Genomic DNA, 27,091 nt, shown 5'->3' with positions numbered 1-27,091 from the left:
CAGAAGTTGGATTAAACACCTTTCACTTGGGCATCCTCCTGAGCTCAGATGGATACAGAGAAACACTCGCTTGTTTCTTCGAGGTAAAATTTTGCAAAATAAATTTCTGTAAATCTGAGCAATAACAAAAAGGAGGCTGGGTGTGGTGGCTCATGCCTGTAATCCCAGCACTTTGGGAGGCCGAGGTGGGTGGATCGTTTGAGGCCAGGAGTTCGAGATCAGCCTGGTCAACATGGTGAAGCCCCACCTCTACTAAAAATACAAAAATTACCCTGGTGTGGTGGTGAGTGCCTATAATCCCAGCTAATCAGGAGGCTGTGGCAAGAGAATTGCTTGAACCTGGGAGGCAGAGGTTGCAGTGAGCTGAGATCGTGCCACTACACTTCCGCCTGGGTGACAAAGCGAGAACCTGTCAAAATAAACAAAAACAAAAAAGGGAAGTGGTTGGGGTGGTCTAACATAAAAATGGTGTGATTTGTCTGTAATGGACTTCAAACTAGTACTCATATTTTATGATGTTGGTTTTCTTTTTCATACAGCTACATAAGAATGAATTCCACAGTACTCTTTTTTTTTTAGACAGAGTCTTGCTCTGTTGCCCAGGCTGGAGTGCGGTGGTGCAGTCTCAGCTCACTGCAACCTCCGCCTCCCAGGTTCAAGTGATTCTCCTGCCTCAGCCTCCCAAGTAGCTGGGATTACAGACATGCACCACCACGCTCAGCTAATTTTTGTATTTTTAGTAGAGATGGGGTTTCACCACGTCTGGCCTCCACAATACTCTTGAATGCAGAACATGCCACACTCGGGACTCCAGGAGACACCCTGAAAGGCAAGAGAGGAGGAGGTTTCCTGGATGCCCCTAACTGTCTGCTCTCACCGCCCTAAATGCATAGACACTTTTCAGTCAACCACATTCCTCGTTATGTGTCTACAGATTCAAAACGTCACCTTTCTGCCTCCCTGCCATTTGCTTGTCCTTGGATAAAAAGGAGAAGACCTCTTTGCTTATAACTATCACTCATGCTTTGTGATTTCTACAAGGCTGTCTGTAGTCCTTGGAATTCTGGAACCATGGAACATATGGACAGCAGTATCCCAGCTGTACTTTGCTACCATCTCCGATCAATGCCATCTTCTCATTAGGATTTGTGGGCAGACACAAGCTTAGCAAGACTACATACAGACTTGCCATAGGAGGAAGAAGAGGTCTATTTTTCTACATTACTCATTAAAGGCAGGCTAAGCATCAGATGTAATAGAATAGCCTATTCCTTCCTTTGCCCACAGCGAGACTTCAACTCATGAAAACACCACCATCAATATATATTGAGTGTTCATTATATATATATAGCCCAAGACTAAGATAATATACTCTATTTCAAAACACTGCCAAAACTCCGAGAACATTTTTTGGCACATTTAAACAGCAGAATGACCATAAATTATGTAAAGGGAGAATTTTCTGAGTACATGTCAGGAAAAAATAAAATAAAAACCTCTAGCAGCAGAATTTAATGCTTAATAACTCTCATGCTAAAGTTTCAGTTTAATCAATTGTGACTTTTGATATTTTATTTAATGCGTCTAAGGAGCATCACCAGAAGAAATTTTAATACTATTGCTTCTAAATTCAATTAGAATGCTTACATTTTTATGTTAGGGTAACATTTGCAGAGCCATTCTTTAATACGCAAGTTATTAAATCCCACGGTCCCTTAATCCACATTGCAGACTAATCTAATGCATTTAAGCCGCCCCCAGAAGACAGCCTTCAGCTTGTGGCTCATACAGCGTGATAGCTTTTGCTCTTTTTTTGACCGAAGAAGTCATTTTTCTTTCCTCTTGACATCTTAAGAGTCATCTTTAATAATGTTTTTCTGTAGTTCCAATGTCCCTCAACTCCTGATCTTACAGACTAAATTGGCAAGTCAGTTGTTCTTCCGTAGAAAGATCTAACTAATTGGCCGGGTGCGGCGGCTGAGACCAGTAATCCCAGCACTTTGGGAGGCTGAGGTGGGTGGATAGAGACCAGCTTGGCCAACATGGTGAGACCCCATCTCTACTAAAAATACAAAAATTAGCCAGGGGTGGTGGTGAGTGCCTGTAATCCCAGCTACTCAGGAGGCTGAGGTAGGAGAATCGCCTGAATCCAGGAGGCGGAGGTTGCTGTGAGCCAAGATCACACCACTGCCTGGGCGACAGAGCAGTGCCTATGTCAAAAAAAAAAAAAAAAAAAAATCACCCAACTAATGATGACTCTCAGTACACAATTCTAGTTCATGGCCTAGCAGATACCCTAGTGCAAAATCCACAAATCCGGAATGAAAATGTAAGCATCCATGCCTTCCAGCATGCTCCATGCTTTTCCCACTGCGCTCATGGTAAATGCTCCCCATGGCATCACCACCGGGAACCAAACACATGCATACATACGTATATGAAGACAGTTTAGCCAAGTGGTTAAGAGTGAGGACCCTGTGGCTACACTGCCCAGGTTCAAATCCTGGCTCTACCACTCCTTACCAACCTCAGGGAAGTCACTTGACCTTTCTGAGTTTTCCATTTCCCTATTTGTAAGATGGAAACGCTAGTCATAATCAACTTTCTTGGCACAACGATCAAGAGTCAAAATAAACCAATATGTAAAAATGGTTTTGGAAGTTTTTTTTTTGAGATGGAGTCTCGCTCTGTCACCCAGGCTGGAGTGCAGTAGCATGATCTCAGCTCACTGCAACCTCCATGTCCCGGGTTCAAGCGATTCCCCTACCTCAGCCTCCAAAGTAGCTGATATTACAGGCACACACCATCACACCTGGCTAATTTTTGTATTTTTAGTAGAGTCTAGGTTTCACCATGTTGACCAGGCTGGTCTCGAACTCCTGACCTCAAGTGATCCGCCCACCTCGGCCTCCCAAAGTGCTGAGATTACAGGCATGAGCCACTGTGCCCGGCTAGAAGTTTTCATGAAAATCTTTACTCTGATTTCTTAGGGGATTGGATAAATATTTTCACAGGTCCAGACCAACTGGCAAAGTTAAAAGCCAGCAAGTTCTAAGTTAGGGCTCCACTGCCTTAAATAGTTTTCAGAACAAGGTCAGATGTAAATTAACAATGACAGAAGCCCTGAGAGAATTATACAAGCTTATGTGGCGACTGAGCTAGAGATGAATGATTTGATGCGAAGTCAAGACGGTTCCAATTTGGACTAACAAAACCTTTCAACAGAGGCTTATGATTTTAATATGGAAAAAGTTGGCTATAAATGATCTCAAGCTTAACAGAAATCTAATTAGGCAAAGTTAGAGAGTAGGAACCAACAACAACTCTCTGAGCTGGGTCTTATGCACATCTCACAGGCAAGAAAATGGAATGAAGAAAAGCGTTATTAACAGGCTGGGTGTGGAGGCTCGCCCCTGTAATCCCAGTAATTTGGGAGGCCAAGGCAGGCGGATCATCTGAGGTGGGGAGTTCGAGACCAGCCTAACCAACATGGAGAAACCCCGTCTCTACTAAAAATACAAAATAAGCCAGGCATGGTGGTACATGCCTGTAATGCCAGCTACTTGGGAGGCTGAGGCAGGAGAATCGCTTGAACCTGGGAGGTGGAGGTTGCAGTGAGCCAAGATCATGCCACGGCACTCCAGCCTGGGCAACAAGAGCAAAACTCCACCTCAAAAAAAAAAAAAAAAAGAAAGAAAACGTTAGCAAGGGTGAAGGGAGAATGGTTATTGCATGACAACCAACAGTGCTGGCTGCGTTATGAAACTTCTCCTCTTCAGGCATAAACGAAGCTGTATTTTGAAATTTAAGAGCTATATGTTTTTCAGGTAGAAAAACTTAAGTGTGGAATTACCAAGTCCCCCCAGGGCTTGAAGGCTACCAATCCAAGTTATTGGTACTTCAGTAGAAGCTTCCCACACTGCTCTCAGATAGGAGGGTGAATGATGGATAGATGGGCAGATGGATTTACAGTCTTTGAAATCAATAAACCTATAGGCCATCAAACATTTTCCAAAACACTGCAACGATCAAACCAGAATCATACCCCAGAGTGGCAACGCATCTTAATGTTGATCAAAGAAGGGTAAGAAATGCATTCTAAAAGATGGTATTGCTTTTCAGCTCTTTGACCGCTTTACAATAAGCAGGAAATATTTTATTTTTGTTGTCACAGTGAAAATCCAACACTCAGAACTCTGAGGCAAGGTAAACCAATAAAAACAAATTAAAACTTCTTTATCTGGATACCAGGATTACTTGTACTTTTGGAAGAAGTAAAATGTTTTGTGACATTTTAGGGTAGTATGACCTCCTTTTACAACACAGAGAGGTTTTAGCTGTGAAACTTCCTTATAAAATTGGCTACAAGTTCAAATTCTGCCCCAAATGAGTTTCTGATTAATATGAATCAAGAAATGTCCCTCATGATCTCTGCAGCTCTTCTGCAAACAAAGCATCCAGAAAGGACCTGGGGTTTAAAGATGGCTCTGCCACTCCCAGTTCATCCCAGGCTAAATTCATCACTCCTGCAGATCAGGAGGCTGTGAAAGGAGTTTCTACCAGAAGTTCCTTTTGATGGTAGGAAGCAAGGTGGGTGACTACCAAGCGGCATAATATAGAGAGGCCTACTGTGGTACAGGGCGGCAGGGCAGAGGACTGAGTCAGACCCACGGTTCCTAGTTTTGTCACAAATGAGCTAGGTGACCCCAGCAACTAGCTTGACCTCTCTGCATTGCAGTACCTCATCTGTCAAAGCAGGCAACTGGTTCACCCAATTTTTAAAGTTCTTCCCAGCTGTAGAAATCATTATTCCTAGAATAAGCACAATTTGCAAAACAGCAATTTTCAAATCTGGGCCTTATTTGCAATAATTCTCGCCTTATGGGGCTTCCGAAACCAGATTTTCCTGAAAAGATCACCAAAGCACCAAATGGTTCCTACTGTCTCCCTTGAAACATTTTGTTGCATCTCATGAAATAGCAGGGAAATACCAAATGTGGATTCCATCATGTTTTAAGGGACTACATTCAGGGTAGGTTAAAGAAGAGGTCAAAATCTACCACTTGACTTTGCGAGGCTTTGTGCATAAAACAACATATTTTTGGGTTCTACTAACCTAAACTCCAGAGTTGAAGAATCTGATTCAAGGCAAAAGATTTGCAAAATTTGATCTTATTGTGAAGGAGGTAATGTGTTATATGATTACCATTAATCTATTAAAGACAGAAAAATTTCTATCCAAGGGAGGAAAAAAAACTCTCTATGCTTTTTGGTTTGCCTTCCAAATAAGCCTAGAAATACCCTACTCAAGATAACCATATTAAAAAGCTTTAAAACCATATATTTAAAAAATTATTTAAAAGATAATTTTTACATTATCAAGTCAAGTTTCCTTTAAGTTGTAGCTCTTCCAAGATATTTTATGTTAAAGATCATGTGCATTTCACAAAGAATTACAATAAATGACAGCTAACGGAAGACCAATTAGAGTCTTAAATTACTGTTAGTCAGTCAGTAGGAAAATATGATTCAGTTCCTCTGTGTTGTAAGGGGAGGTCACGCTACCCTAAAATGTCACAAAACACAAATAGTTTTATTTCTTCCAAAAGTACAAGTAATCCTGGTAGCTCAACAAAGCAGAATTGCAAGCCTTTCAATTTATCTAAGCCTTATTCCATGACCCTAGCCAATTTGCTCCTCTGCACTTATCTGAACACTCTCTGGCCTTTTGCATATACTACTTCGAATTGTTATTGGTCCGGTTTCTCAATCAGACTGTAAATCCCTGGAAGGCAGTGTCCACATTTTATACCTTTCCTTTTTTTTTTTTTAAATCTTCAAATTGCTTCAGAGTATACATCTTCTGTATGATTAATTCCAAAAGGAAATGCCCTCTGAAGACATCGAATCAAAACTCAACTTCCTTTTTAAATTTATTTTTATTTTTATTTTACGGGTAATAAATTTAGTAGCAGCTGGGCATGGTAGCTCATGCCTGTAATCCCACTTTGGGAGGCCAAGGTGGGGGAATCGCTTGAGCCCAGGAGTTCAAGACCTACCTGGGCAACAAAGCAAGACCTCATATCTAAAAAAAATTTGAAAATCAATCAATAAATTTAGCAGAGACCGAAAGCTGTCCCAGCAAAATTCCTTTTCTCTTTTCTCCATAGCACAGAGCTATTGCTGGTCACATAAATGCCTGTAAGGATTTTGTTCCCAGCCTGCTTTGCAGCTGGCAGTGGAGTATGGCCATGTGCCTATGTCCCTGCTAAGGGCTGGGAGCAGGAGTGATATGGGCCACTTTTGGACCAGGGCCTTGAGACGGCAAGTTGTGCCTCTTCCATACCCATGTTTCCTTCTCACGACAGCACCCAGACTTGGCTCTTTAGAAGATAACAAGGCAGGCCAGGTCTCGCTCTGTCGCCTAGGCTGGAGGTGCAGTGGCACGATCTCAGCGCACTGCAACCTCCGCCTCCTGGGTTCAAGGGATTCTCCTGCCTCAGCCTCCTAAGTAGCTGGGGTTACAGGCGTGCACCACTGCGCCCAGCTAATTTTTGTATTTTTTGTAGAGATGGGGTTTTGCCATGCTGGCCAGGCTGGTCTCGAACTCCTGATGTCAGGTGCTCCGCCCACCTCAGCCTCCCAAATTGCTGGGATTACAGGCATGAGCCACAGTACCCAGCCTGAGATTTATTTCTTTAAGTCACAATGTTGTTGGATCTCTTGTTACAGCAGCTTAGCCTTCTACCCATGTGTGCTTTGTTCCAAGAAGAGGTATGGCATTCTATGAGAAAGAAAGTCGTATTAACTGAGATTCATAACATAAGCATACTTACAGTGAAAATGATGGCAAAATATGTGAGACAGAAGAAAAGTCATGCTGGATCCTACTACCCCTAAATAACCACTATTAATATTTTGGGGTAGTTCCTTCTAGACTTTTCCCTATGCCTACAAAAAAAAATACATACATGTATTTTCCTACAGAAATAAGCCATATCGGTTTATAGACTCTCTCACTTAATATCATCTTTTATTTAATATGTTGACATTTTTCCAGATCAAAAATACATATATATCATTACAGTGGTGATATAATATTTCACTGCTTGGATCTACCAGAATTTATCTAACCAGTCTTTCATTGTTGGACGTTGAGTTGTCTCCTTGCAAAAATTCTGTCATAAACAGCACTGCAGAGAACATTCTTATACATAAACCTTTACATATCTGTCAAATTATTTTTCTTCTAGGTCTCTATTCTTAACATATCCCTGCAAACAAAGATGTTCCCTCTTTCTGGGCACCTGTATTAAGTCATTCTGTCTGCGAGATATTTACAAGCCTACATTCATTAATTACATTTTTGGATGAATTTCCATTCATGTTTCATCGTTAGACAACCTGGAAACCAACTAAGGTTCCAGCTCTCCAAGTCAGCAACAGGATGGGTCAATGACTCCCTAAGCAGTGGTATCAGGCAGACCCCCGCTCCTAGACAATGCCATCCTGGTTATCAACATGCACAAAAGGGGAAACAGTAGTGAAACTTGTTGCCTGCTGACAAACCTTGATCTACATCTGTGTTGCCAATTACTTGTTCAACAAACCTGTTACTTTTTTGGAAATAATAAATAATTCAGGGAAAGTCATTTTGAATCCGCTGACATCTGTTGCTTGTACAACTCTGAATTATTCATCAGTGAGCATAAACAGTATTAATTAAAGAAAAGTACTGAGGCAGACCATTGAAATAGAAATGAACATTGCAGAAGAAAATGCCTTTACTCAGAGCACATTTCACATGTCATTGACAAATATCACAAAGAACATGCCAGTCCTTAGAACCTAAAGGAACTGTACTTTTAGAAATCAGACGGCAGGATATCATGATAAGCCTTATTTTTATTTTTCCAATTTTATTTTTTTCTTCCCTTCAGAAAAAAAAATCATAATCTTTGATTTGGTCTGTTTCAAGCATTCTACCCGTTTGTCCTTTGTTCCAAGAAGCCGTATGGCATTCTATGAGAAAGAAAGTCTTACTAATTGAGATTCAAAAGAATCACAAGAATAAGTGTCAGGAATCAAGTCATCAAGTGCTCATTTGTAAACTGAGATTTAGACATATTAATGGCAGACTCCCGCCCAAATTAAAGATAGCTCAATCTAGCTAATGATTTATTTCCATGACAACTTTGGCACTTCCTTTTGACAAAGCACTGTCTCATGGTAAAGCGGAAAAGGGAAAAACCTATGGCCTGACTGCCTGTTCCTCATGGGCAGCTGCTGGCTAATCATTTAATTCTCCCCCTTGTCTGTCTCTACTGGACGTGTGTGTGGTAGGCAGAAAGTGTGAACATCAGGAAAGTGTGTTAAAGAGTTAACAAAGCATTGTTGGTAAAGAAAGGCCTCAAAAAGGCAGGGAGGCAGTGGCTCATAACTGTCTGCTCAGGTACTAGAAAACACGGACCTCTCAGGAAAGGTAGGGTTGGGGAGTTGCTGGTTAAATATTGGGGGTGGTTTGGATCGGGAGATTTTCAGAGAAATCTGTTTCTTTGTGAGGCTCTGGTGAATTGCTCAGTAATGATTGCTTGACACCGAGGTAACCTGGCCTGCCCTCTCCACTCTGTGCTGGTACCAACTGCTGAGGTTGCTGTGGGCAACAGAGGAGAACAGAGAGGCTGGAGAAGAAAGAAATATATATATATTAAAAAAAAAAAAAGATTGAAGAAAGTCGCAGGCTCAGTTTGGGGTTCTTTCAAAACCTCTGAATTCAGAGGAGTGAGCATTGGCCAAGTCTTCTTGCTAGTGGCAACTAATGAATGGCTTCTGTGCGTATAATTAGCGCTCCAGTCTCCCCAGGTCAGATCCTCAGAGACCTCCCAACGCTTGCGGAAAAAGAGGGCCACAGAGACCCTTTCTCAGTGACATCCTTTCAAGGGATTTCACCAATGGGGACAAGCCTCCCTTGTTTTTTCAAAGTTTGGTTTGTTGTTGTTTTTCTTTGGGGGAGGAAGGTTGGAAGAGATACAGGAGGTGGCAGAGGGGAGCTTGGAAAAGAGGAGAAATAAAAGGGGAACCAGCTCTAGCCTGTCTCAGAATGGTCTTTCATCAAAGGGGGTTTGTTGTTGAAAACGGCAGAGAAGGGATGAATAAGCAGCCAAGGCTCTTGGTTTCCCGAAAAGAGGTTGAACAGGGACTGCTGTGTCTCTTTTAGGCGCTACCCAAAATGAAAGTACAGATTTAGAAAAGATCAGACTGGCTCTCATATAGCACTGGATTTTAAGAAATGAACTAAAAAAGATCTCTTTTCAAAAGACCACGGACAGCCTTTGCTGGTGAAGAGTGCTGCCCAGATAGGAGCTCCTCAACTGAAACTCAAGTCCAGCAGGGATGAAGCCTGTTTCTAACACCAAAGGCTGCCCAGAGGCCCACACAGCCTTCATTTCATTCCAATATTCCAAATCCAACATCTACTGAGTACCTTCTATTTCAGAAAGGAAGAAAGAGGAAAAGGCACTGCCTCCCAGTTTTCCAATACAAGCAGAGTGTCTGAGCTAGAGGTAATGTAAGAGAATCTTAGGGGCCGAACCAAACAAGTTGAACCTCTCATCCTCGGGGAAGCCAGCAGTGACATGCCATCACTCTCAACAGGAAGGACCCAGAGGCAGCCCACAGGCCTGACTTGGTGACTACATTATGACACACCCAGAAATCAAGGGCTGTGGAACACTCAGCTGGCCATGAGCAAGACTTTTTTTGGGGTGGGGGTAGTTCTGGACTCTCTCATGGCTTCAACCTGGGAGGCACATGGAACCCTCAGGGTAGAGGGAAGCCCAGGGCCCTCGATGGAGGCCACTCACACTAGGCCTTGAGTGCTGTCTGAATGGTAAAAATTAAACAGACCTGATGCGGTGGCTTATGCCTGTAATCTGTAATCCAAGTACTTTGGGGGGCTGAGGTGGAGGATCACTTAAGGCCAGGAGTTCAAGACCAGCCTGGGCAACATAGCAAGACCCTGTCTCTACCAAAAAATAAATAAATAAATAAAAATGAGCTGGGCAGGCTGGACACGGTGGCTCACGTCTGTAATCCCAGCATTTTGGGAGGCCAAGATGGGTGGATCAGCTGAGGTCAGGAGTTCGAGACCAGTTTAACCAACATAGTGAAACCCCATCTCTACTAAAAATACAAAATCAGCTGGTGTAGTGGCATATGCCTGTAATCCCAGCTACTTGGGAGGCTGAGGCAGGAGAATCGCTTGAACCCGGGAGGCAGAGGTTGCAGTGAGTGAAGACTGTGCCATTGCACTCCAGCCTGGGCAATAAGAGTGAAACTCCATCTCAAAAAAAAAAAAAAAAAAAAAAGAGCTGGGTGTGTTGGCACACACCTGTAGTCTCAGGTACTTGGGGGGCTGAGGCAGGAGGGTCCCTTGAGCCCAGAAGGTAGAGGCTGCAGTGTGCTGCGATCATGCCATTGCACTCCAGCCCTGGTGACAGAGACCTGTCTCATAAATAAACAAATAAGACATCCTCCACAGACACCAATGGATAGCACTGTATGTCTGATCTCAAAAGCAACACTCAGAGTTTCCAAACTTCGCCATGCACAGGAATCATCTGAGAACCTTGTTGCAATGCAGGTTCTGATTCAGAGGGTCTGGGGTGGGGCCTGAGACTCTGCATTTCTAACAAGCTCGCAGGTGATGCTGATGCGACTGGTTCATGGACCACACCTGGAGGAGAAGCGCTTCAACCCCAGGCAGCAGGTTAGAATCACAGCCCAGGACCCAGCCCTGGCCCGGCCCCGTTAATCCATATATCTGGCCAGGCACAGTGGCTCACACCTGTAATGCCAGAACTTTGGGAGGTGGAGGTGGGAGTATTGCTTGAGCCCAGGAATTCAAGACCAGCCTGGGCAACATAGTGAGACCCCATCTCTACAAAAAAATAAACAAAAATTAAAAAATAAATCTGTATATCTGAGAGTGAAGCCAACCACTAAGATTTTTTTTTGTTTCCCAGGTGATTCTTATATGCATCCAGAGTTAAGAACCCACTGGCTGAACTAATTCCAGCTCTTGCTATCAAGCAGACATATGGACCTAAGAAATTTAGTCTCTAGGCCGGGCGTGGTGGGTAACACCTTAATCCCAGCACTTTGGGAGGCCAAGGCGGGTGAATTACCTGAGGTCAGGAGTTCAAGACCAGCCTGGCCAACATGGGGAAACCCCGTCTCCACTAAAAATACAAAAATTAGCCGGGCATGGTGGTGCATGCCTGTAATCCCAGCTCCTCAGGAGGCTGAGGCAGGGCAATCACTTGAACCTGGGGGGACAGAGGCTGCAGTGACCCAAGATCGTGCCACTGCACTCCAGCCTGGGTGACAAAGCGAGACTCCATCTCAAAAAAAAAAAAAAAGAAAAGAAAGAAATTTAGTCTCTAGGAATCTGTTTCATCATCAGAAATGTGGGGATGTGTTGGTATAAATGGATTGGTATCAAGACAAATTTAGTCTTTGAAAGCACTTTGGAAGGGGATAGAATATAATAGTTGTTTTGCATCATATTATCATAGCTTCTTTGATTAGAGTGAGGAGTTAATACTGTCCCTCAATATCAAATTCCACAAATAAGGACTGCATGCTAGCTCTATGGGAGACACTGGGGTTTTTTTACGTTAGAGACCGCTCTGTTGCTCTGTTAACTTCCCACAGCCCAATGCCTTAACTGACAGTCGACTGAGAAATGGATTGGAGGTCCCCATGGCATCCCAGCCAGAACCTTGAAAAATCCTCCTAAAATTGTTTCAACTATGGATTCCTGGCACTGAATCCTGATTGTGCTTACTGATGCACAACCTACAAAGCAAACACGCATTCCCTCCCCTTCCAGTCCTCCCTAATCCTGCCAATCCTATCCTCCCAGGTGGTAACAAGGTTCTCTGCTGCCAACTTTCAACTTTCTGTGCAATAAACAAAGCTCCCTCGCAGCAAAGGGCATCAGTTCTGCCAGCCACCAACAGATGGCATCAGCGGCTGTACGAGGTCGTCGCAGCCTCTGCCTTGGCCTTGTTCCTCAATCTGTCGTGTTCGCTATGTTTGAAATGGCAGTGTCTTGTTAAAAACGTAGGGAAGGTGACAGAAAATTAGGCCCCAGTGCAAGCATCTTTGGACAGTCAAATGAGAGTTGTAAAGGAGTAAGAGTCCCAAACACCCCGGGCTGTTTTATGAAACAAACCAATGTTGTACCCAGCTCGGTAGGCGTCACGTTGGATTTAGAACAAATGGGCTTTCAGAAATTAACCTATGAGAAGAGCTGCTGTGTCCCCAACTGTGATAACAATCAAGTTGCTTCCCACGGCCCACACAGAAACCGCGCAGAAAGCAAAACACCCTCCACCGCGAGGAAGGCTAGAACCACGGCAACGCTTTTCAGAACCAAAGACCCTCTGCGAACCAGAACTTCATTTCCTCTTCATTCATCTGTGCTGTGTGCTGAAAGGACCATCCGCTATTCCCAAGAAAGCAGGGCCCTCCCTCATCCATAGCGTCAACGTTGAGTGTTCACACTAGAGCAGCTTAGCTCTTTCTGCAGAAAATTAATAGGTGAATGCCATCATCTTAGTCTTTCAAAGTAATGGTCAAGAATCCCGTGGGCTGGATGCAGTGGCTCATGCCTATAATCCCAACACTTTGGGAGGCTGAGGTAGGAGGACTGCTTGAGCCCAAGAGTTTGAGACCAGCCTGAGCAACACAGTGAGTCCCCCTCTTCAAGAAAAAAAAAAAAGCCGCCGGGCATGGTGGTGTGCACCTGCAGTCCTAGCTTCTCAGGAGGCTGAGGTGGGAGGATTGTTTGAGCCCGGGAGGTCAAGGCTGCAATGAGCTATGGATCATGCCACTGCACTCCAGCCTTGGCAACAGAGGGAGACAAAAAAATAAAAATAAAGAGAAGAAGAATCCTACGGATTGCCAGAATTGTGTGTGTTAATTTTAGATCTGTGGTTCTCAGCATGGGGCGATTTTGCTCCCCAGGGCACATTTGACACTGCCTGGAGACATTTTGGTGGTCACTGCTGGGGAAACAGGAGAGGGCACTAAAGCATCTAGAGGGTAGAGGCCAGGGATGCTGCGACACAGCCTGCAATGCACAAGACGGCTCCCACAACAATGAATTATCTGCTCCAAATGTCGGCAGGGCTGAGGTTGAGAAACGTTACTCTAGAGGCCAGGAATTTTGGCCAAGACAATTAAAATTCCAAAAGTCAACTTCCCATTGTCGTCACAGAAAACATCTTGACGGAGAAGACAAAAGCTAATTAGTTGGAACTCCTTCAAGTTCTCCTTCCTGACATGGAAATCGACCCTCCCAAACTTTCCTCTTACCCATTTGTGGGAACAGGGTGTCCCTTGTTTTTGCCAAGACCCCCACCTCCGGATCTCCTTCTCACTGACCTTCCTAGGAACTTCGCTCCATCCACCGCCCATTCCTCCCCCAGCATCTATGCTCCTCCTCCCCACACCTCCTGCTACCTGGCTCACAGTTAGGTTAACTTAAAGTAGTCCATTTTCCCATCTTAAAAACATCTCTCACCCAGAGAATAAAATAAGTACTTGTGAGTCCACACTGATATAAATAAATGAGAGGATAGATAAACAAATACCTGGAGAAGAAACAAATTTCCCTTACAGAAGAATTCCATGTAATAAAGGCAGAAGGCATGGGAGAATAGAAAATCACCAGGAGAACATTACAGTAATAATAGCTGCAGGCAGGGTCCACTGAGGAATGTTAAGTTCATGGGCAAACTTTAAGGGGAAACAGGATACCTGCATAGGCTCAACACATCCCTCCAAAAACATTTATTAGCCAGGTGAGGTGGCATGCACCTGTAATGCCTGCTACTCTGAAGGCTGAGGCATGAGCATCACTTGAGCTCAGGAGTTCAAGGCCAGCCTGGGAAACATAACAAGACCCCATCTCCAAAAAATATTAAAAAGCACACCAGGGCCGGGGGCGGTGGCTCACACCTGTAATCCCAGCACTTTGGGAGGCTGAGGCGTGCAGATCACGAGGTCGGTGAAACCCCGTCTCTACTAAAAAAATACAAAAAAATTAGCCGGATGTAGTGGCGGGCGCCTGTAGTCCCAGCTACTCGGGAGGCTGAGGCAGGAGAATGGCGTGAACCCAGGAGGTGGAGCTTGCAGTGAGCCGAGATTGTGCCACTGAACTCCAGCCTGGGCGACAGAGCGAGACTCTGTCTCAAAAAAACAAGCAGGCCAGGTAAAGTGGCTCACGCCTATAATCCCAGCACTTAGGAGGCCGAGGTGGGTAGACAGCTTGAGCCCAGGAGTTCAAGACCAGCATGGGCAACATAGTGAGACTCTATCTCTAAAAATAAGAATAACTTTTAAAATAATAAAAATACATTAATTGGCCGGGCACGGTGGCTCACACCTGTATTCCCAGCATTTTGGGAGGCCAAGGCGGGTGGATCACGAGGTCAGGAGATCGCGACCATCCTGGCTAACATGGTGAAACCCCTTCTCTACTAAAAATACAAAAAAATTAGTTGGGCATGGTGGTGCGCACCTGTAGTCCCAGCTACTCAGGAGGCTGAGGCAGGAGAATGGCATGAACCTGAGAGGCAGAGCTTGCAGTGAGCCGAGATCAGGCCACTGCACTCCAGCCTGGGCTACAGAGCAAGACTCCGTCAAAAAAAAAAAAATACCACATTAATTATGGTGCTGGTTTTAGCATATGTCCACAAATTCTTTGAAACCCCTCCCTGTAGGAGGCAGGGCCTAATCTCCCTCCCCTGAGTGACTCACTTCTAATGAATAGACGGTAAGCTTGTCCAACCCGTGGCCCAGGACAGCTTTGAATGTGGCCCAACACAAATTCATAAACTTTCTTAAAACATTATGATATTTATGCACAGACCTTTTTTTTTTTTTTTCTTTTGAGACAGAGTTTCCCTCTGTCACCCAGGCTGGAGTGCAGTGGTGCAATCTCGGCTTACTGCAAACTCCTCCTCCTGGATTCACACCATTCTCCTGCCTCAGCCTCCTGAGTAGCTGGGACTACAGGCGCCCACCACCACGCCCGGCTAATTTTTTCTATTTTTAGTAGAGATGGGGTTTCACTGTGTTAGCCAGGATGGTCTCGATCTCCTGACCTCGTGACCCACCCGCCTCGGCCTCCCAAAGTGTTGGGATTACAGGTGTGAGCCACCGCACCCGGTCCTTTTTTTTTTTTTTTTTTTTTTTTTTTTTTTTAGCTCAACAGCTGTCATAGTGTTAATGATGTATTTTATGTGTTGCCCAAGACAATTCTTCTTCCAATGTGTCCCAGGGCAGCCAAAAGATTGGACACCCCTGGAACAGAGTATGGAAAGGGAAATTAGCAGCTTACGGTGGGTAACTCTGGTAGACAACGCCTTAACCAAGTGATCAAGGTTAACTTCACCAGTGAGCAATCAGGTAGATATCATGTGCCCCCTAATATTATGTGATGAGAAGGCCATTTCACCTCTGGGGTATTCTTTCCCCAAACCCCAACTGCAGTCTAATGATCAGAAAACATCAGACAAATCCAGATTGAGGGACATCCTACAAAATACTTGACCAGCCCACTTCATAAATGTCAAAGTCATAAAAAAACAAGGAGAGACAGAGAAATTGACATAGATTGAAAGTGACTATTATGATATAATAATTAAGTGCAACATTATATCCTGATTAAATCCTGGAACAGAAAAAGGACATTAGTGGAAAAAACTGGTGAAATCTGAAGAAAGTCGGGAGTTTAGTTAATACAACTGTGCCCATGTTAATTTTTGAGTTTTGATAAATGTATCATAATTAGTACGATATTAACATTGGGGGAAGGTGGATGAAGACTACGGGGGGTTCTCTGGATTTGCAACTCTTCTGTAAATCTAAAGTTAACTTTAGGGGGTATATGATGTCAACCTGATTTAGCTAAAGTTAACTTTAGATTTACAGAATAATTGCAAATCCAGAGAGAGGGAAGATTTAGGTTGGTGCAAAAGTAATTGTGGTTTTTGCCATTGAAAGTAATGGCAAAAACCACAGTTTCTTTTGCACCAACCTAATAAAATAAAAAGTTTAAAAGGAAAAAAATCTCTCAAATGAAGACGTAGGTCCACACAAGGACTTGTATGTGAATGTTCATTGCAACTTTACTCAAAATCATCCAAAACTGGAAGTAACCCAAATGTCCATCAACTGGTAAATGAATAAACAGACTGTGGTATATCCATTCAGGGGAATGCTACTATGCAATAAAAAGGAACAAACTATTGATACATCCAATAATATGGATGAATTTCTTTTTTTTTTTTTTTTACATTTTTTTTTTTTACATTTTTTTTTTAATTTATTTTTTTATTGATAATTCTTGGGTGTTTCTCACAGAGGGGGATTTGGCAGGGTCATGGGACAATAGTGGAGGGAAGGTCAGCAGATAAACAAGTGAACAAAGGTCTCTGGTTTTCCTAGGCAGAGGACCCTGCGGCCTTCCGCAGTGTTTGTGTCCCTGATTACTTGAGATTAGGGATTGGTGATGACTCTTAACGAGCATGCTGCCTTCAAGCATCTGTTTAACAAAGCACATCTTGCACCGCCCTTAATCCATTTAACCCTGAGTGGACACAGCACATGTTTCAGAGAGCACAGGGTTGGGGGTAAGGTCACAGATCAACAGGATCCCAAGGCAGAGGAATTTTTCTTAGTGCAGAACAAAATGAAAAGTCTCCCATGTCTACTTCTTTCTACACAGACACGGCAACCATCCGATTTCTCAATCTTTTCCCCACCTTTCCCGCCTTTCTATTCCACAAAGCCGCCATTGTCATCCTGGCCTGTTCTCAATGAGCTGTTGGGTACACCTCCCAGACGGGGTGGTGGCCGGGCAGAGGGGCTCCTCACTTCCCAGTAGGGGCGGCCGGGCAGAGGTGCCCCTCACCTCCCGGACGGGGCGGCTGGCCGGGCAGGGGGGCTGACCCCCCCCACCTCCCTCCCGGACGGGGAATATGGATGAATTTCAAAAACATTGTGTTGAGCAAAAGAAGTGAGACACAAGAGACTACATCTGTATGACTGCATCTATAGGAAACTTTAAGAAAGGCAAGACTTTAGTGCAAAAGCAGATCAGTGCTTGTTAGGAACAGGAGTGGGGAATGTGGGGGGTAGAGAGAAGTAATTGACAGCTAAAAGTCACAAGGGAAGTTCTAGGGGTGATGAAATGTTCTGTATCTTGATGGGGCAGTGGTTACATGACTACAGTGTGTGTATATATATGTTAAAACTCATCAAGCTGTACACTTAAAGTGAGTTCTATTCTATGTTAGCTATATCACAATATGGCCAGGTGTGGTGGCTCATGCCTGTAATCCCAGCATTTTGGGAGGCCAAAGTGGGCAGATCACTCGAGGTCAGGAGCTTGAAAACAGCCTGGCCGACATGGTGAAACCCCATCTCTACTAAAAATACATAAATTAGCCAAGTGTGGTGGTGTGTGCCTATAATCCTGGCTACTTGGGAGGCTGAGGCAGGAGAATCGCTTGAACCCAGGAGGCGGAGGTTACAGTGAGCTGAGATTGCACAACTGCACTCCAGCCTGGATGACAAAACAAGATTCTGTCTCAAAAAAAAATTATATATATACATATACACACACATATATATATTATATATCACAGTAAAGCTGATTTTTAAAAAATCTCTCAGCCCCTGCTATTGCTTTGTTTTTATCCTCCTGAGCCTCTCTATAGCTATGGCACTTGAATTTCCTTCTTCCTCTTGGTGGCTTTTGTTCTGTCTTATTTCCTGATGCCCTTTCTAGGTCCCTAAACATTAGTGCAAAGAGGGCACCAGAGCAGAGGGGAACAATTCTCTCTACACTCAAGTGGAATCTCTGAGCTGAGGGACCCAGAGAGGTGGAGTAGCCAGCAGGGCCCTGATGACCCGCACCTGAACTCCCACGGGTCTGACGGCTGCTGTCACAAGAGCCTGGGGCCGCTGGTCTGAGTGTGCTGGCGATCCAGCCAGGCTCAGGACGCTGAGGAGGAGGTAACCGAGACCAGGCTTCTCCCTTGTCAACAGGCAGACAGATCCCGGGGATCTTGTTAAAACACAGAGGCTGATTCAGCAAGCTGGGCGGGGGCTGCAGATTCTGCATTTCTAATAAGCTACGGAGTGATACGGTGCTGAGGGTTGGAGGCCCACACTCTGAGCTCAAAACGGAGACCACAGGGATATGCAATGTGTGCAGAGAAGGGGGAGGATGGCACAGGCTGCAGCAGTGGGGCGGGTGCTTGGCTACACTTGGAAAGGAAGTTCTCACAGTGTCTACAGCAGGAACCCAGACAGTTTCTGAGCCATCCTGGGGCTACTACAGGGACTGGGAAAATTGCACCAGTTGGGGAACAAAAAGTAAACAATGGTCTTATTACAATTAGTATGGTCTTTATTGCATGTAGGTGACAGGCCCTTAAAGAAGGTTTCATCCAGACATTCTCCCAGATCCCTCTCCATACTCTCTCAAGAAAGTCACCTGGGCCAGGCGCAGTGGCTGACTCCTGTAATTGCAACACTTTGGGAGGCCGAGGCAGGCGAATCACCTGAGGTCAGGAGTTTGAGACCAGCCTGGCCAACATGGCGAAACCTCGTCTCTACTAAAAATACAAAAATTAGCCAGGCGTGGTGGTGGGTGCCTGTGATCCCAGCTACTTGGGAGGCTGAGGCAGGAGAATCGCTTGAACCTGGGAGGTGGAGGCAGGAGAATCGCTTGAACCTGGGAGGCAGAGGTTGCAGTGAGCCGAGATAGTGCCACTGCACTCCAGCCTGGGCAACAGAACAAGACTCCGTCTCAAAAAAAAAAGCGGCCAGGCACGGTGGTTCACACCTGTAATCCCAGCACTTTGGGAGGCTGAGGTGGGCGGATCACGAGGTCAGGAGATCGAGACCCTCCTGGCTAACACGGTGAAACCCCGTCTCTACTAAAACTACAAAAAAATTTAGCTGGGCGTGGTGGTGGGCACCAGTAGTCCCAGCTACTCGGGAGGCTGAGGCAGGAGAATGGCCAGAACCTGGGAGGCAGAGCTTGCAGTGAGCCGAGATCATGCCACTGCACTCCAGCCTGGGCGGCAGAGTGAGACTCCATCTCAAAAAAAAAAAAAAAAAAAGGAAAGAAAGCCACCTGTTCATTCCTGTGGCTTCACCACGGCTTCCCCAAGGGACTCCCAAATCTGTCCCTGATGCTGCTCCTGCACGCCCCCAGTGTTGCTAACAGCTGGTAGCTATCTCCAGCTCCTTAATTGAGCCTGAAACTCACCATGTCTCAAACATGCCTGCTTCCTCCTGTACTATCTTCATCAGCTGGTGGTTGTACTAGACACTTCTACGACTCTAAATAACCCTTCCATAGCATTGCCTGACAACCAAGACCAAGAGATAGTCACCCCTTGTCACACTCTCTAGTTTCTTTTATAATGGTTATCTCAGCTGCAATTAATTAGGGACAGGATTATTTGTGAATATCCATCTCTCTCACAGGACAATAAAAGGGCAGAGGCCCTCTCTGCTCTGTGGTCTGCTTCCCACTCTGCCCCAGCACCAAGCCGAGAGGCTGGCATGAAATACAAGACATGCAATTACATCGTAAGTCTCCAACTCAATTCTGACACATTAGGAGTCTCTAAACACAAACATTAGGGACCATGTCAGTTTCTGAAATGCTCTTGTTTACTGACATTTAATCATTTTCCCAGGGACGGCTTTCTACAAGATCAGGCTGACCTCTTTGGGGGTTTTATTCTTAGATGATGAAGATATTTTGACACAAGGCCCAAAGGCAACATGCACCTGGTTGTGGCTGGCAGGTGGCTTTGCTTTTTAGATACAGAGCTTGGAGCTTGCCCTGAGTGACAGTAACTTGTAAAGCAAATCTGTTTGGGGCAGAGGCAAAGCAGATCTCATTAGACTCCTAAAGGGACATGTTAGTATAGCTAGAAAGCAATACCTGGTTCCAAAATTCAGAATTTTGCGAGAGCCACTCAATCACCAAGCAAGGCCACTTCAAAAGCCTATGACAACATCCATTAATACTCCAGTCACTCTGGATCAGAATAAAAATGAAAAAGGTGCAAATGAAACTTCTCTCACTGGTCCACACCACCCTCCCTGAACCTTGTATCTGAAAAGATATTTTAGTTCAGAAAAAAAAAGTCTCCAGCGGGGCACAGTGGCTCATGCCTGTAATCCCAACACATTGGGAGGCTGAGGCGGGTGGATCACCTGAGGTCAGGAGTTCGAGACCAGCCTGGCCAACATGGTGAAACCCCATCTCTACTAAAAACACACACACACAAAAAATAGCCAAGAATGGTGGTGCACACCTGTAATCCCAGCTACTTGGGAGGCTGAGGCAGGAGAATCACTTGAACCTGAGAGTGAGCCGAGATCATGTCACTGCACTCCAGCCTGGGTGACAGAGCAAGATTCATCTCAAAAAAAAAAAAAAAAAAAAAAATCTCCTAACTGGCTCAGGTCCCTTTTCAGCTAAATTGGGAAGAAAAGCAGGTGAAGGAAACAAATGGTCCTTAACACAAGAATGCCCAGTTATTATTTTGCAAAAACAGTCAAAGCCCTGTTAATAGCAGGAACATAGTCTTCTCTTAAGGAGCTAGATTGCTTGCTGGATTTGGGGGGGAAGAAAATTAATACTCACTACTGAGGTATTCCAACAGTTGGAATGAAGTAGTTGAAAGAGAGGATCAAGGCAATCATCATCTCCCAGCCCAACCTCCTGCCAAGCACCAGGGCCAAGCACTCCTCCTGCGACTCCCAGAGGGTCCTGTTCAAACCACAGGTGCAGAAGGTGCAGACATCTGACTCCTATTTCCTCTGTGTCCAAGAGTGGGGGTTTTTCAAGCAAAAGGGCTAACAACACTGAATTCGGAAGGCAAGAGGGGTACTTTGAAGTGGGACTCTTAGAGGACTGCTGAACTTACTGTGTTAAAAGGGATGAGTTAGAAAAAGGCCAACACCTGGCCCTTTCTCTTTGCTGTTTTGGGTCGTGTGGGAGGGCCCTGCATGAATCCTTTACTAGGCACTGGTTGCTGTGAGTTTCAGCTACTAATGGGTCCCATCTGCCCCCTTGTTTGTAAATTGCGTTTGAACAAATGGGAACCTCTCCACCTGTGGGAGGCCCACAACCAATCAATGGCTGACATTGAGAGGGGTACAAAAGGCTGACTTTGGCCAGCCCAGTGGCTCACACCTGTAAATTCCAGTGCTTTGGGAGGTCAAGACAGTAGGATCAATTGAGGCCAGGAGTTTGAGACCAGACTGGACAACATCGTGAGACGCGCCCCCCCCCACCCCCCCACCCCACCATCTCTACAGAAACTTTAAAAATTAGTTATGCATTTGGGCGTGTGCCTGTAGTCCCAGCTACTCAGGAGGCTAAGGTAGGGGGATCGCTGGAGCCCAGAAGTTCAAGGCTGCAGTGAACTATGATGGCACCACTGCACTCTAGCCTGGGTGACAGAGGGAGACTCTGTCTCTAAAATAAATAAATAAATAAATAAATAAAGGCCGACCTTGCCTGACGGGGGGGAAACCAGCTCTGTGATGCAAGTCATGGACTCCCAAGACACCTGAAGTTTAGATTTACCCCCGCCCTACCATCCTCCCAGCCCTCTAGCCCCCATCCCATACATCATCTCCATGAGAATCCCTTGACTTCTAGGGAAACCTGACAAAAGGCACAAGGAGCTAAGCTTCCACGAAGTTTTGGGAGTATTTGGTTGATCCCAGGAAGAGAATTTCCAGTTCAAGGTCTCCAGTGCTTCCCAAGGGGAACTAGGCACAGAGGACTCAGAACCCAGCCCAGCTAAAGCCCCGAACATCAGAGAGGAGCCTCATTTCCCTATTCCACCTTATACAGATTGGAGAAAGGCTATCCAGTGCAGGGGCTCTGTCATTCGTGGGTGACAGCTCCTGGATCCTATGAAGATCCTACCACAAAAAAGCTGATTTTGCTAGTTCCTGGGCACCCTGAACCCAAGTTGGGGACAATTCAACATTGGCATGTGAAATCTCCCGGAGCACTTAAAAGGCAAAAAGAGTTATGTCTGCCACCAAGTCTTTTTCAAGCAGCTGCTTATGGGATTCCACATCGGTGCTACCATCACGGCACAGACTGTATTTCCTTAGTGCATTTCAAGACTTTCCTCTGCACTGGCTCATAAGGAAACCCTCTCCCAACACACATTCTATTACATTCCCTTCGTCCCCTTTCTCATTTTCCTCTGCTCCTCCTGGGGCTTCCCACAATTACCTCCCCAAATCTTCACCTTAGAGGTGGCCTCTGGGGACCGATCACTCAAAGACAGGTGTATGTTCAACAACATACACTCTTAAAATCCCGATTTCACAGTGAACAGACACAGAATGCAACACACACCTCTGTGATCTAACTAGCCATCATTTGCTAGCCAAAGTGCTTGATTCTGGGGCACAGTCAATTAAAAGTGAGAGTTGTGGCCGGGTGTGGTGGCTCACGCCTGTAATCCCAGCACTTTGGGAGACCAAGGCGGGTGGATCACCTGAGGTCAGGAGTTTGAGACCTGCCTGGCCAACATAGTGAAACCCCATCTCTAATAAAATTCAAAAATCAATCAGGCCTGGTGGTGCATGCCTGTAGTCCCAGCTACTCAGGAGGCTGAGACAGGAGAATTGCTTGGACCCGAGAGGCAGACATTGCGGTGAGAGGAGATTGCACCACTGCACTCCAGCCTGGGTGACAGAGTGAGACTCTGTCTCAAAAAAAAAAAAAGTGAGAGAGTTGTAAAATCGTGGTCCAAAACACCCTACGAACTTTATTAAATTCATAACGCTGTGCTTTTTTTGGTGCAATTTTAAATTAGCTTTTTAAATTAGCTTCCATCAATCTTCTCCTGGTCCACTGTATTTCAGATGTTGAACTCAGGACAGTGTTGAAAGATTTTTACGGGGTGAGTTCCACAGTTCCAATTCCAATTTACCATTCTTCCTTTTGTGACTTCCTCTTAGAGTTCGCCAGCCTATGGGTCCTTGAGGACTGAAAACCAATGAATTAATCAAAGGAAAAATGTTCTGTTTCCTCCATTTAGAAATTCATTGAAATATAGATGAAGTCCATCATGAACAGCAGGACGTTCTGAGAAAGCCATCAGCCTAAATGTCTTTATGAATAACTATTATGTTAGATGCTCAAAAGATCTTACATCTCACTTAGATGAATAATCCAGCCACCAAGGAACACTGGGAAGCAAATGAACATAAGGCAGTCTATACTTATTTCTCTACTTAGATGAACACAGAAAATATCATTTTTTTTTTTTTAATTGAGATGGAGTCTCGTTCTGTCGCCCAGGCTGGAGTGCAGTGGCGTGATCTCTGCTCACTGCAACCTCTGCCTCCCGGGTTCAAGCGATTCTCCTGCCTCAGCCTCCAGAATAGCTGGGATTACAGGCACGAGCCACTGTACCTGGCCAATTTTGTATTTTTAGTACAGATGAGGTTTCACTGTGTTGGCCAGACTGGTCTCGAACTCTTGACCTCAAGTGATCTGCCCACCTTGGCCTCCCAAAGTGCTGGGGTTACAGGCATGAGCCACCACACCTGGCTCTTTTTTTTTTCTTTTTTGAAATGGGGTCTCACTCTGTCACTCACACTGGAGTGCAGTGGTGCTGCAAGCTCTGCCTTTCGGGCTTAAACGATCCTCCCACCTCAGCCTCCCAAGTAGCCGCCGGAACCACAGGTGTGCACCACCATGCCCAGCTAATTTTTGTATTTTTTTGTAGAGATAGGTTTTTGCCATGTTGCCCACAGCGCCAGTCTCAAACTCCTGAGCTCAAGCTATCTGCCCACCTCAGCCTCCCAAGGTGCTGGGATTACAGGTGTGAGGCACTGCGCCTAGCCAAACACATAAAATATCTTTCCATTTTTACTACCGAATTCACATTCAGGCAGCTTCTCCTGATATCAGCGATGCTCTTTGACCCCAAGTCAAGGACTTCCGGAAGCCGAATTTGCTACCTCAGACTTCCAATGTACTATGTGAAGTATAAAATGATTACAACACGGAGATGACATCCTGTTTCACTTGTAAGAATTGGTAGTTTGGGCTCAGAGAAAGCTCAATCAATATTGCCACAACTGCATGTATGAAAATATATCCCACCAATTCAATTAAGTGATTAATCAATAATGCACATAAGTTTAAAAAAAAACTGATCAAAATCAAGCTTTCAATCCCCCCTACCCACCAATCAGAGGCACAAAGAAACACCATCCATATTCATTCCTGTTTAGCTATTATAAATTGTTACTTGCTATGCAGAAGTATTTATAAGTCTGAATTACTACAGGATGTTTGTGGTTTGAAAAATACAAATGCTATATCTCATCAGTATATAATTATATATGTACACAGTCTATATAAACACAATTTATGTATTTGTCTATAATATGCAAACCAAAGTCTTTAGTTGAGCTCAAGCTAAATAGTCTTTGTTTTTAAAAAATTTCCAATTGTTGCCGGGGGCGGCGGCTCACGCCTGTAATCCTAGCACTTTGGGAGGCTGAAGTGGGTGGATCAACTGACGTCGGGAGTTCGAGACCAACCTAACCAACATGCAGAAACCCCGCCTCTACTAAAAATACAAAATTAGCCGGGCGTAGCGGCCCATGCCTGTAATCCCAGCTACTTGGGAGGCTGAGGCAGGAGAATCGCTTGAACCCAGGAGGCGGAGGTTGCGGTGAGCCGATATCACGCCATTGCACTCCAGCCTGGGCAACAAGAGTGAAACTCCATCTCAAAAAAAAAAAAAAAAAAAAATTCCAATTGTGAAATAATCATTACATAAATAACTTTCCTAGCTCCACCTCATTTGCATGAAAGCAATCTGTTTTCTAGCATGATATGTATTGGTAAAGTGCCTACTAAGTGGTATTTTTGTCTAGATAACCATGTCTTAGGCACACAACAGAAAAAAGAAAAAGTGCAGCCAGGCACGGTGGCTCACGCCTGTATTCCTAGCACTTTGGGAGGCTGAGGTGGATGGATCACCTGAGGTCAGGAGTTTGAAACCAGCCTGGCCAACATAGTGAAACCCCATTTCTAATGAAAATACAACAATTAGCTGGACATGGTGGTGGGCGCCTATAATCCTGGCTACTCAGGAGGCTGAAGCAGGAGAATTGCTTGAACCCAGGAGGCAGAGGTTGTAGTGAGCTGAGATCCCACCACCGCACTCCAGCCTGGACGACAGAGCAAGACCCTGTCTCAGAAAAAAAAAAAAAAAAAAAAAAGAAAGAAAGAAAGAGAAAAAGAAAAGAAAAGAAAAAAAAAAAGGTGTAGGCAAGTTCATTCCTCCCAACCCATAATAAACATAACTCTCTTCCTGTTCAAAGGACCAAGCAAATAAACTGCAACTAAGACAACCACCAACAGCACTGCTTTCTTTAGATTCAAGAGGCATGTTGTGAAAGCAAATGGGACATTACCCAGAGAGACCTGGAGCAGAAGCCCTTCCAGAAACAGGGATGAGCAGGAAGTCCAGAAACCCAGGTCGTAATGCTGGCTGTGGAGCTCCATAGTTCTGTGACCCTGAGCAAGTCATCAAATAGTCCAGGCTTCAGATTCCTTGCCTATCGAGTTAGAACTCTAGATTAAATGATCTAAGGTCCAAAAATCTAAGTTTTTTGTTTTTGTTTTTGTTTAGAGACAGGGTCTCCCTCAGTCACCCAGGCTGGAGTGCAATGGTGCAGTCACAGCTCACTGCAGCCTCAGACTTCTGCCCTCAAGCCATCCTCTTGAACTCCTGCTCTCAAGCGATCCTCTTGGCCTCCCAAAGTTTTGGAATTACAGGTGTGAGCCACCACACCCAGCCTACAGTTCTAAGATTCTTTAAGACAATCTCTTGGATATCTGGGTGTTGCTGAGGCTCAATGACACTGATTCTGATTCACCAGACTGCACTGTGGTTGCTGGAAAAACTTCATCACCCTCCAACACAACGGGATGGGTTTGGAGAAAAACAAGAAAGACACATCCTGTGTGATATGTATGTGGTCCCCTTAAGCGAAGGAGACTCCCTGCTGCATGAGTTCCCATAGGATGCTTAGTATCCTTCATCTAACTCAGCCCAGATTTCCCTGGGCACCGCCCCCGAAGCTGTACTATTGTCCCGTGCTATTCTATGGGGACCTATTATCTATTTGACTTCCAGTAGGAAGATTCCAGAAGCATTTTATAGAAGCATTTTCAAAACTTATAGAATATGTTTTACTTCTCATTTGAGAAATCTGAAGTACCAGTGGAATCTGGTCTTTTCATGGACACAGTGAGTGTGGATGGTAGCAGAGAAGAAGCAGGAGGAGGCAGGGAGAACCTTCAGACCATGGCCTAGGTATGATGGAGAGAAAAGAAAGGAGTACCGGGTAGGAAGAGACTCAGAGTGCAACACAGCTGTAAGAAAGTTTTGGTCACACTGGCCGGGCGCAGTGGCTCACGCCTGTACAATCCCAGCACTCTGGGAGCTGAGGCAGGTGGATCACCTGAGGTCAGGAGTTCAAGACCAGCCTGGCCAACATGGTGAAACCTCATCTCTACTAAAAATATAAAAATTAGCCAGGCATGGTGGCGCGCGCCTATAATCCCAGCTACTGAGGCTGAGGCAGGAGAATCACTTGAATCTGAGAGGTGGAGGTTGCAGTGAGCCACCGTCGCGCCGCTGCATTCCAGCCTGGGTGACAGAGCCAGGCTCCGTCTCAAAAAAAAAAAAAAAAAAAAAAGAAAGAAAGAAAAAGAAAAAAGAAAGGGCCGGGCACGGTGGCTCATGCCTGTAATCCCAACACTTTGGGAGGCCGAGGTGAGTGGATCACCTGAGGTCAGGAGTTTGACACCAGCCTGGCCAACATGGTGAAACCCTGTCTCTACTAAAAATACAAAAATTAGCCAGGCGTGGTGGCACATCCCAGCTACTCGGGAGGCTGAGGCAGGAGAATTGCTTGAGCC

At 45.1% G+C, this 27,091-nt stretch overlaps 1 protein-coding gene and 2 non-coding genes across 5 annotated transcripts in view, besides 2 other annotated features; 1 reads left to right on the top strand and 2 right to left on the bottom strand.

Annotated features, from left to right (window-relative positions):
* The window catches only part of PITPNC1 (phosphatidylinositol transfer protein cytoplasmic 1), a 319,976-nt gene that overhangs the window by 209,648 nt on the left and 83,237 nt on the right, over nt 1–27,091 (bottom strand). The window lies entirely within an intron of this gene.
* Nucleotides 186–275: an enhancer, noted in NCBI's record as "active region_12625". NCBI's record gives its function as "activates an Ori minimal core promoter by ATAC-STARR-seq in GM12878 lymphoblastoid cells {active_cell/tissue: GM12878}" and the evidence as "EXISTENCE:reporter gene assay evidence [ECO:0000049][PMID:35858748]".
* Nucleotides 9,697–9,886: an enhancer, noted in NCBI's record as "active region_12624". NCBI's record gives its function as "activates an Ori minimal core promoter by ATAC-STARR-seq in GM12878 lymphoblastoid cells {active_cell/tissue: GM12878}" and the evidence as "EXISTENCE:reporter gene assay evidence [ECO:0000049][PMID:35858748]".
* On the top strand, nt 16,024–16,120 carry MIR548D2 (microRNA 548d-2). The gene has a single exon (NR_030385.1). It is a non-coding gene; the product is annotated as a microRNA 548d-2 (primary transcript).
* MIR548AA2 (microRNA 548aa-2) lies at nt 16,024–16,120 on the bottom strand. The gene has a single exon (NR_037517.1). It is a non-coding gene; the product is annotated as a microRNA 548aa-2 (primary transcript).

Source organism: Homo sapiens, chromosome 17 (genome assembly GCF_000001405.40).
Source record: "Homo sapiens chromosome 17, GRCh38.p14 Primary Assembly".
In the NCBI taxonomy this organism is placed as follows: Eukaryota; Metazoa; Chordata; class Mammalia; order Primates; family Hominidae; genus Homo; species Homo sapiens.
This window is presented reverse-complemented; position numbering and strand designations above follow the sequence as displayed.